The sequence below is a fragment of the Homo sapiens genome, chromosome 7, assembly GCF_000001405.40.
Source record: "Homo sapiens chromosome 7, GRCh38.p14 Primary Assembly".
In the NCBI taxonomy this organism is placed as follows: domain Eukaryota; kingdom Metazoa; phylum Chordata; class Mammalia; order Primates; family Hominidae; genus Homo; species Homo sapiens.
The window spans coordinates 106421377-106432478 of record NC_000007.14 but is presented as its reverse complement, the minus strand read 5'-3'; the positions used below and the strand labels follow the sequence as shown (position 1 = coordinate 106432478).

General features: G+C 44.4%; 2 annotated features.

Moving 5' to 3' along the window:
- Positions 6525-7724: an enhancer, noted in NCBI's record as "CDK7 strongly-dependent group 2 enhancer chr7:106065201-106066400 (GRCh37/hg19 assembly coordinates)". NCBI's record gives its function as "activates an origin of replication core promoter dependent on BRD2, BRD4, P300/CBP, MED14 and CDK7 cofactors, with strong dependence on CDK7, by STARR-seq in HCT116 cells {active_cell/tissue: HCT116}" and the evidence as "EXISTENCE:reporter gene assay evidence [ECO:0000049][PMID:35650434]".
- Positions 7042-7141: an enhancer, noted in NCBI's record as "active region_26484". NCBI's record gives its function as "activates an Ori minimal core promoter by ATAC-STARR-seq in GM12878 lymphoblastoid cells {active_cell/tissue: GM12878}" and the evidence as "EXISTENCE:reporter gene assay evidence [ECO:0000049][PMID:35858748]".

Below are 11102 nucleotides of genomic sequence, written 5' to 3'. Positions count from 1 at the left end.
TTTTATGTCTGAGTAGTATTCCGTGGTATATGTATATACCACATTTGCCTTATCCACTCATTAGCTGATGGGCACTTAGGCTGGTCCCACATCTTTGCAATTGTAAATTGTGCTGCTATAAACATTAGTGTGCAGGTATTTTTTTCATATAATGATCTCTTTTCCTTTGGGTGGATACCCAGTGGTGGAATTGCTGAATCAATTGGTAGATCTACTTTTAGCTTTTGTTAAAGAGTTTTTAAACACAAGCCGAACACCCCTAATCTGAAAATCCAAAATCTGAAATGCCCCAAAATTTGGAAACTTTTTGAGTGCCAACATGACCGCACAAGTAGAAAATTCCACACCTGACTTTGTTGCTGGGTGCACAAAGTTACTAAAAATATTATATAAAATTACCTTCAGGCTATGCATAGAAAGAGTATATAAAGCATAAATAAATTTTGTATTTAGACTTGGGTTCCATTCCCAAGATATCTCCTTATATATATGCAAATATTCAAAAATCCAAAATATGAAACACTTCTGGTTCCAAGTATTTTGGATAAGATTTACTCAAACTGTAATCAAAATGTTAGCCTTTTGCCTATGTTATATGCTACAAATTCTTCCATCTGCATTTTTTTAAAGTTTTTGAGACAGAGTCTCACTCTGTCGCCCAGGCTGGAGTGCAATGGTGCAGTCTCTGCTCACTGCAACCTCTGCCTCCTGGGTTGAAGTGATTCTCCTGCCTTAGCCTCCCAAGTAGCTGGGATTACAGGCATGTGCCACCATACCCAGCTAAGTTTGTATTTTTAGTAGACATGAGGTTTCACCATGTTGGTCAGGCTGGTCTCATTCCTGCCCTCAGGTGACCCGCCCACCTCAGCCTCCCAAAGTGCTGGGATTACAGGCGTGAGCCGCCATGCCTAGCTTCCCTTTGCATTTTATACTACATGCATGTATTGCTTATTTTTAAAAATGTTAAGTGCATGTAGACACAAAATATTTATCTACATGTTTTGTAGAAACTGGAAAAAAATGTGTCAGGTTTTAGGGTGGGAGTAATTTTACTTCAGTTTTCAGTGAACATCTCTGTCCTTGCAATTTTCTACTTGCCCTTTCTCTCAGGAACCCTTAAATCAAGGAGCAGACATGTGCCAACTAGGAGGCCTTGGTGGATGGCCAGGTCTAAACAACTGAAGGCCAACCCTGACTCTCACTCTGTCCTTGTATCCTGTGGTACATGCACTTGTGCAGTGTCACCAGTTCCAGGAAATAAATAAGGAGTTACACACATGGCTCATTTTCCCACCTTGTGGCCCCCCCATGATCCAGCAAACATTGCAGGAATGATGCTCCTGCAGACATGGCAGTTCCTTCCTTCTAAATATAAACGCAGAGACACTAAAAATAAAGTGTTAAAGGTGAGTTTTGTTTGTTCCTGAAATGTCAGTACACCAACTGTATAAACTTATTTCTCAGGGAGCCAAGAAGGAACAGGTGGCTATGTACTTATAACTGGGCTTTTGCAAATGCAAAGAGAAACTGTCAGAAGCTTGCTGGAGAGCAGTCATGTCTTGATTTTTTTAAGTTGTGCTAAAAGCAGGACAGCAGGGAAATAGTTCTTCCATTGTCTAATAGATTTCTTTCAGGGTCCTTAAGCACATATAGTCCACAGGAGTGGAATTGAGGCTTCATGAGCCCACTTCAGCAAACCAGGGCTGACAGAATGCAATGACGAATTGGTCAATCATCAGCCAATGAGCAAAGCATGTGAACAGTGCAGAGTTCCTAGAATCACGAGTCAACCAAGAGAGATTTGTGCCTGGCATAGCACCTGGTCCATAATATACCATTAATATATGCATGATCAAATGAATAAAAAAGTATCCCATACTGGCTTGTATTGTTATGAAGGCTCCGAAGGGTGATGTTAAATGCCTAAGGGTTCAGATGAGAAAGGCAAGGCAGAAAGTGAAGGGCAGCAAGGCTCCTAAACTGATACTTGGATGTTGGCAGAATTAGAAGTATGGCCAGTGTAACAGGACAGGATCTGCCAATATTCAACCTCACAAGATGCAACAGGTGACAATAGCAGTTCATAATCCAAGCTTAGGTCACATCAAGACGAACCTGGAATTCAAGGTCCCACACTGTAAACAAGGTCAGGCCTTGCCAACACCCATCCCAACTCCCTAGTGGAGAAGAAAGCACACTTAATACAGGCACGGCAGACACTTGAGAACTCACGTTATATAACCAGTTACCACACAGAAGCCATGTTATCTCCCAATACAAAGAATGTGGCTAGGTTACTTCTACGACCTCAGTATTACTGTTAGATGCATTTTCTGCAGCCACTCCCTGTCTCTCACCCTTCTAAACAAATAACCAAAAGAAAACCAAAATAACCAACCACTGACATTCTCTGAAGGTTGCCATATTTTCATATTCTTTCATGACTTTGTTTAGGCTGTTTGTAATGCCTTTTGTTCATTTTTTCATTTATTCAGGAACAAATTTTCTTATTTGTTAATTGTGATTCATTTTTTGACTTGTCAATTTATTGATTGCCACTTATGTCCTTAGTGCTGCGCTAGGTGCTGTGGATATCGTGTTCACATGTCTGTGAACAAAACAGACATGCTCCCTGCCCTCACAGGAAAGACAGACAATAAACAAATAGAAATAAATATTTACTTACACATTGTCATAAGTGCTAAGAAGAAAATGACTCTGAGAGGAAATAACAGATGGCACTGACTGTAGAGACTATGATTCGGAGAGGCCTCCTAGTTACCTACTCTGTGGAATATTTTCTGACCAGCCCACACACCCACCCCAACTGAATCAATACTATTCTCTGTGCTCCAAAGTTATAGCTTCTAGTTTTGACTTGACACCTCTCTTTTGTAGTTGTTTATATATCTAAGCTGTGCACACAGACTATTAATTCTCACAATGCAAGGAGGATAAAGAGAAAAGCGTGTGGAATTTGGAATCAGAAAAATCTTAAAATGAATGCCAGTGTTCCACTTAAACTCTGGGATATTTGGCAGATATTTCAATCTGAGTTACCTGGAAGTAGAGCCTGAGGTGTTAAGGCTTGTAGGCAAGTAGTTTATTTGGGAAGAGATCCCAAGGAGTAGGAGTGAGGGATGGGAAGTGGAACAGGGAAGGGGGAGGAGGCAATGCAAGGATGTGCCGTGGAGTTGGCCACCGCTATAGACAGAGGGGCCACTGGCCTTGGAAGGAGCCATGTGAAATGGGCCTCAGATAACAGAGGGAAACATTTATATATTGGCCCATCCTCCACTGATTAGAAGAGCCCACATGGGCACGACTCCTATCCATTTCTAAGTTGTACAAGATATGAGTGTCCAGTGGATGCAACAAGTGCCTACATGAAGTATCAGGGGCACCTCAGGGCAAGAAGCAGGAGTATGGACCAGGTCCACACACTGTCCAGCTGCCCCCGTGTGAAGGTCGGCAATCCTGTGTGGAACAAGTTGATGAGGACATGACTGGAGTAAGAGGTGAGATGAGAGTGTTCAAAATTGAAGTGTCTAAAACCCACATCTACAAAACAGAGACAATAACAGTATCTGCCTCATAGGCATTTGAGAGTTAAGTGAGATGCTTTATGTGGAAGTGTTCTATAAACTGCAAATTCTAATTGTTATTGCTGTTAAAGTGACCTTCGGCTTATGTAACTAGAAAAGTGCCTAACACACTATTAAACAAAAAAGAAATGTGAGTTATGGGAGTTACTAAGTAAGAAGAGTGAAGGAGCAAATACAGAGGTATCCCAAGCTCTTTACTCGAGGTTCCTACCAATGTAAGATTTACCTAATACATTTCACATGTTCCTACTCTGTTCCATATTCAGATAGATTCAAATGAGGTAAATAGTGGTAGAAGAGATATTTTTAAAGTAGCTTACTTGAAGAATTTATTGAGGCCATCCCTTTGAAAGGAGAGAGCTAGGGGAAGATTTATTTGCCTATGCAATGTAACCCCATTCATGGACTTAACTGCCTTTGGCTTTTTCCATTGTTTGACAAAATATTTGAACAGAAGTTGGGTGGGAAATCTTTAGAAATCAGAAAATGGGGTTCTCTTGCCTTAAAAGCATGTAAACTGTGATGAAAATAGAGCAAGGCAAATCACATTCTGTCATAAAGAATCAAACAGGCATAGCGTACCACAGAATCAACAGCCACCCTGATCATAGATTAACTGGATAGAGGTCAGGCAGCACCAACCTAGGAAGCTTTCATTTCATTACAACTTACTTCACTTCAGTAAGCCCTTACAGATCCTGTGATAGGCAGAACCAGGCATGTGCTAGGCCATGGGGCTACAGGGATGGTGAGGGTGAAAGACAAGGAGATTAACAGTGAGAACACAGTGGCATCAAGAGAGGTGCACAAGAGTGTTCACAGAGTGTAGAGAATGGGTGCAAATGAAAGGTGCCTGAGTCCGCTTGCAGGGAAAGAGAAAGAGGGTCAATGCAGTTTTCAAAACAACAACAAACAACAACAACAACAGATGCATCACCAAAAGTCTGGTGGATAAGCAGGCATTAGTTGGATGGAGTGGAGGGGCGGGGGTATTTCAGGCTAGAGAGAACAGCCTGGGCATTTGTCTAGAGGTGGGAGGAGGCCTGATACTTTGGAGGAATTGCAAGAAGGTCAGTGTTAGGGAGCAAGGGGAGTGAAGGGGGCAGGGATATGGTGGGAGAGGGGGTTGCAGCTGCGAGACCTGATGGGGCAGGACGGTAAAGAGCCGTCCATTTGGATGCATGCATTTGAACTTGCCTATGGGAAAAGGCAAGCCACAGAAGGATGTTAAGCAGTGGAGTGATGAGATGATATTAATGTTCTCTGTCTAGAAGATACCTCTGGCCATGGGATGTGAGAGAGTGGAAGACCGAGTGGGGCTGGATACATGCAGAAGCTGGAGCTCAGCTTGGAAATGATCATAGTGTTGAGTCCGGGAAGATGGATAAGGGCCTGTGGCAATGCAGTAGGAATAAACAGGTGGTGATGGACTTCCAGCAGGGACCCAACATGCTGGTGACCATTCATTTGGATGTGGAAGATGAAGGAGGAGATGGTCAAAGCAATAGCAGGTTTCTGCCTCAGGTGACCAGGTGGAAGGTTGTGCCATTTGCTGAAGAGAAAAAAAGGCTGGTGGAGAAAGTGGAGCCAAATTGGAAGAATAGAAACATGGTTGCTGGAGATAGCTGCTTGCAATGTTTTGTTTTTCTCTATTTATTTTGGGACATGGGATCCTTTTGTAATATTTTTACACATGAAAAGGGGTATAGTCCTCAAAGGCTGTTAGGACTGTCACATATGATTATGCAAGTCTTGCCGTGCAAAAGGGCTTCTGGCCCGGGAGAGAGCGAGGCTGACCTGCAGCCTGTGCGAGGCTCCTTGGGAGTGTACGGACAGGGTTGCATCTGCCTGGGAAAGGGGTACCCATGAGGATGCTTCCCATCACCTCTCTGGACCCACTTCCCACCCTCCTCTGTGCCCTGGCTGGCTGGCCTGTGTGGATGACATGGCCCACCCCCCTCCCTCCAGCACCTGGCTGAGTTCCACCGTTGGGGGTGCTGGCAGGAGAGCAAAGGGAAGAGCGTTTCTCTTGGCTCCTCTCCTTACTGAGGGCCATTGATTGTCTCTCTCCCTTTCTGAAGGTCACAGCTTCCAAAGCTACAGTTCTTGCTTTGTCTCAGTACAGGGCTCTCTCTCTCCTTGTCTCTCAGGGCTCCCCACTGTTGCTAGCCCCAGGATACCATACCATTCCTTGCAGGTTTGCCTAAATCCCACCCACGTCTTTGTAAATGGTGCCTTCCCCTCACACTTTCCTTCATTATCCACTTTGACTGTGTCATCTGTTTCCCGCCAGGACCAGGACTGATATTGAATATTTTTCTAATTAACACAAGGCAACATCTTCATTCACTTCCCCATGCACCTGTGAAGCTGTGACTACCATCGGGACGCCTGTTTCTAGTTCTCAGGAAGGTGCTGTGTTAAGCGAAGGGCCCTCTGGGTTCTGAAACTCTGGGGGCCTTGATTCCTCTGCAAGTGGGAGCCAGATTGGCTTTTCAGTCTCACCCAAACTTTGAGCTAGAAGGGAAGAGGGAGGAGAGTGGGGAAGGGAAAGGTGTCAGAGTCAGCGGACCCTGAGGAGAGGCACTGTGGATTATCAGTGTGAGGTATTAACATCACCCCTCCAGCCTTCACTGGGAATTGGGAGTCGACACTTGGGAATGTTTGAGTGCAGGTAAGGCAGGTGTCCCTACTCCACCAGAATGATCTGCTCCCCTTCTTCAAGTTTCTCGGTTTCTTACCCAACCATCCCCTTCCCCTACCCTGGCTATATGTAGCTGTTTCTAATTTTCTTTAATTTAACAAGGACTCAGTAAAAGAGAATATTTTCGTTAAACTTTCAGGTTTAACAAGATATTGTGAAAGCCATTGATCTCCACTCTATCACGCTGGAGAAGTAGGGAAATACCTATTTGTAAAATGTGCGTGTCTGCCTGTTGACACCCAGTTGTTGGCTTATTTGTTCATTCATTTATTTATGCATCTATTATTTATTCATTCATCAAATAGCTGTCAAATGCTATCTAAGACTTGATTGTTGTATTTATCCTCAGCTGGACCCTTCTATCCCCTCCTAAAGGAAGAGGAAGGAGGCATGCAAGGCACACAGCAAGGTGGGCTGATGCCAAGCTAGAACAAGGAAAGTGCAGTTGGAGGACATGTGTGGTGGGACCTGTAGCTGACCTTTCCCCTCCCTGCAGCCAGACTTTGCCCTCCCTGCAGCCAGGCCTGGGCCACACGGGTAGGAATACCCTGGCAGTTCACATTCTCACTCAGTCTCACACTCACTTTGTACTCTGATGCTGACATGAAGTGGCTCTGCTGGCAGCCCACGTGTTTCCAGATACTTGACCCAGCTGCAGGTATGAAGGCCTTACCTCCTGGCAAATGTGAAACAAAAGTCGAAGGAGACAAAGAGCCTGTGAGCTTGTTCCCCACTCCTTTCCATACTCAGCTGATGACTCAATTCACCACCAAGGGTGAGCATGAGGGATCTGTCCGTTCATATTCATCTTCCACCCTTTCCAGGCTTTGGATGTGTGGAGCTGTGCTAATTTGGAGTTGCTGAGCTACAGGACAGTGTTAAGAGAGGCTCTGGCATCTCAGATTTATTGCTTGAATACTTGAAATCCTTATTACAGGAAGTTACACAGCTTGCTTCCAAGCAGCACATGTAAAATTGCAGTTTGACGTTCTGGGGAAATCCCAAGCGTCACGCTGTTTCACCAGAGTGATAAATTGACAAGGGGCCAGTGTTCTGATGAAATCTTGCTTCTGTTTGCCTGCCTTCCCCATGAGTTCTCTAGTTTCCTAAGAGCCAAGAGTGAGCAAATAGGCTCTTACTCATTTTAGAACATTAGTCTTCTAATTTGCATACTTTCTTTCTACATCTAGTTATTGGTACTTGAACGGAAGTGGAGGAGTCTGTCCTAACATATTCCTCTGCCCTCCCCATCCCATCATGATTGAGAAAGAGAGAGAGAGAGAGAGATTGGAACTTGGGTTAGGAACTACTTTCCAGAATCTTTTATTTTCTTCTTTTTACTTATCTACCTTCCTTCCCTTTTTCTTTTCATTCCATTTCTCTCTCCCTCTTTTATTCAGTAATTTATCCAATTACCCATTCATTACTTTGTACCTGGAACCTGAGCTTAAGATAGCTGTGTCCTCTTCCTCTCCCTGATTAGGATTTAGATGTAAGTCTGTGAATGCCAGGATGATGTGTGGCTCAACCTACCTGTGGGTCTGCATACCTGAGTGATGGAGTCTCCTAGGAAAGACTCTCTTCACAGGAGGGGGAAATAGAAGCACCTACTAGGTTCAGTTGCACTGGACCAGGACTAGAATGGAGACTGGGGTGGTCCTGGTGGGGTTTGAGGAACAGCACAGTGCCTGTCACTCTGATGTCTTCTGGCCCAGCGCCCAGGGCCAGAAGTCCTGGGAAGTCCTGCGCCTGGGTCCTGAGATGAGGGTATTGGAATAAAAAACAAGTGTAAACAAAAATAGTTCATCACAAAAGCATCCCTAGGTTACAGGAAGCAGGGGGCAAGAGCAGCACCAGCCAGCCCCAAAAGCCAGGCTGATGTCAGTGTCCTTGACCCTGTGCAGATGCAGCTGTGTCATGGGTGGTGGTGGTGGGCACCTCCACTGTGCTCCAGCATAGACGTGCTGCTCTCTAAGGCTGCCTTGGTTGTCAGCAGCAATGGAGACCCCAGTCCCGTAAGCAGAGGCAGGTGAGGAAGAAGGTAGCAGGTGCCACACATAGCAGTGGGCAGTCATGCTCAGTATCTGTAAGATAATCCCTGGAGAATCCCAGACTTTAGGGGATGAGTTTGATGTGAGGATGTGTGTGGTTGGAGCAGCTGCAGAATGGATTTGGGTAAATCCAGAGAATGCTGTTTTGTATCTCTCACTAAGATTCTGTTTCACTCTAGGCAGAGGAATTTGAGAGACACAGGCTTTTACACGTGCCTTAAATCCAACTTACTTCCAAAAAGCACTTGTAGAAGCTTTATAGAAAGCCTCAATATAAAAGAGATAATTTTTTTAAAAAGAAGATGAACCACAGTCAAGAAATAAAGACTGGAAGGAAGGAAGGAAGGAAGGAAAGATGAGTGGTGTTTTACTAGAAAGCCTAGTCAAACAAATGTTTTTGCGTGGTTTGGAACTGTTATCTCTTCTGGGCTTAATTCCTAAGAAGACAAACTCTATGCCTAATCAAGACCTGAAAAAAAAAATGAAATTCAGTTATTTAGATGGCGATTCTATTTTGTTTTCTAAATGTATTACTGTACCAGGAAAGTTCTATAATTCTTCATGGTTAGAGAGCTGCCGGAAGTCATCAGACTTTATTTGAATACATTGTTGGAAAATCCTGATTATTAGTTCTGTGTCCCCAAGGCCACAAATGACCCCAAAATGCAGCTGCCTACATGTCAAGCTGGGGATTACACCGATAGCTGAGGGAGCTGGAAGTGTCCTGTACTCATGATCAGCACCTGCACCTGTCCTTCTCATTTTACCCTCACAATGATGCAGGGAGATGGGAGGGCCCGTACCGTTATCTCCACTCCACAAGTGAAGAAACCACAAGTCAGAGAGTTGTCCAAGACCATACTTAGGTGCAGGGCTGGTGTCGGAATACAGGCTCCGATTCTCAAATCCCAACTGCATAGGCCCTTTCCTGAACATAGGTCTGGAATAGTAACTTACCTAACTTTCTTACAAGCACCAGGAAATTCTGATGCTCACCCAAATGTAGGACTCTTAACCCCAACACCATCTGTCCCCACTTCCACTGAAGACTCAATGGATCATGGGGGCAGTTTTCCCCATGCTGTTCTCGTGATAGTGAAGGAGTGCTCACGAGATCTGATGCTTTTAAAAGTGGCAGTTTTTCCTGTGCTTTCATTCTCTCTCCTGCCACCTTGTAAAGAAGGTGACTGCTTCCCTTTCCTCCATGATTGCAAGTTTCCTGAGGCCTCTCTAGCCGTGCAGAACTATGAGTCAATTAAACCTCTTTCCTTTATAAATTACCCAGTCTCAGGCATTTCTTTATAGCAGTACAAAAACGGGCTAATACATTGAGTAAATTGCCCAGGATGATACAGCAAGGAAACAGGTTAGATGAGGTTGATGAATATTGGGCATCTGATGGCTAAAGGTGATTGGAGGACAAGAAGAAGAAGAAGAGGACATGGTCTCTGAACAGGGAGCACACAGCCTGATGATGAATCGGGGCAAGTTTCACAGAACAGTAGTTCTTTCTGCTTCATCCCTTTAGTTGTTTTGTAAGTCCAAAGTAAAAGGGTTCCATCCGACTGTACTGAGAGAGGGACTGGCACTAGATGGATTCTATTGACAACTGCAGCCAGAATTCAGACATCCAGAGTGGACACAGCACATCACAGCCCATGCCTGTGTGAGAGAGCCACCCCCCCCAACACCTACCCATGCCCACATTCACACCCACCCACAGGCACAAATAAAGTGCTAACCTCCTCCAGTGGGGACAGTACTGGGAAAATGCCAGCTGACCTGTGGTCTCCTTTGGCTCCTTAGAAATTCAAAACTGCTGTAATTAAACATTTCCAAGAATTTGTAATACCCTCAGAGTATTAGAGAAAGCACTAGAAGTTTCCTGAGGTAACAAAGCAGAGAATAGTGAGGGGAAGAAGACAAAACAGAGCATTGTAGGCAAGACAGTAGCACCGATTTGAGGGAAGAAATTGGCTTATGCCTTTGCGAGACTACTGGGAAGAGGCCTACGAGGGAATAGAGAAGAAAAAACATTTGTTAAGTACCACATATGTGCCTGATTCTGTGCTTTCATATATACCTGCTTTCATTCTCAAATAACTCTAGGTAGGTATTTTGGTTCTATTTTACAGGTAAGGAAACAGGCTTGGACAGGGCAGGTAATTCATCCAAAGTGACCCAGACAGTAAAAGAGAACCTGGACTTGAAACCCAGGTCTTTGAAGGCACAAACGTCCATGCCATCCCTATTGCATCCGTATGCATGTGTATCAGTATGTATCTTAACAAATGCGGCATTTAATAAGTTCCAGGTTCTGTTCTAAGTGCTTTACAAATATTAACTCATTTAATACCCACAACCACCCTAGGAAGTAAGTGCTAGTATTATTTTCAGTTAGCATAAGAGGAAATTGAATAACAAAGAGATTGTGTCATCTGCCCAGATCACATGTCTGCTGGCAAGCTGGCTGCTTGGCTGAGGGCTCATTCTTCCCGCTTTTACTCTGTGGGGCCTCTATGTGAGTGGAAGTGCTTATTTCTTGGGTTAGAGCCAATCCATCTCTCCAGCTTACAGTAAACTAAAAAGGGGAAAGCAGTAACTTGGAGGCTAGAAGATGCCAGAGGAAACATGTCCACCCAAGATCAGAGCACTCATTCTTGATAAGTAGCTCAGACTCAGCCATCCTTGAAACAGCCTTGGCTGCCTGGCAATGCATCAACACTTCAAGGCTATCTGACA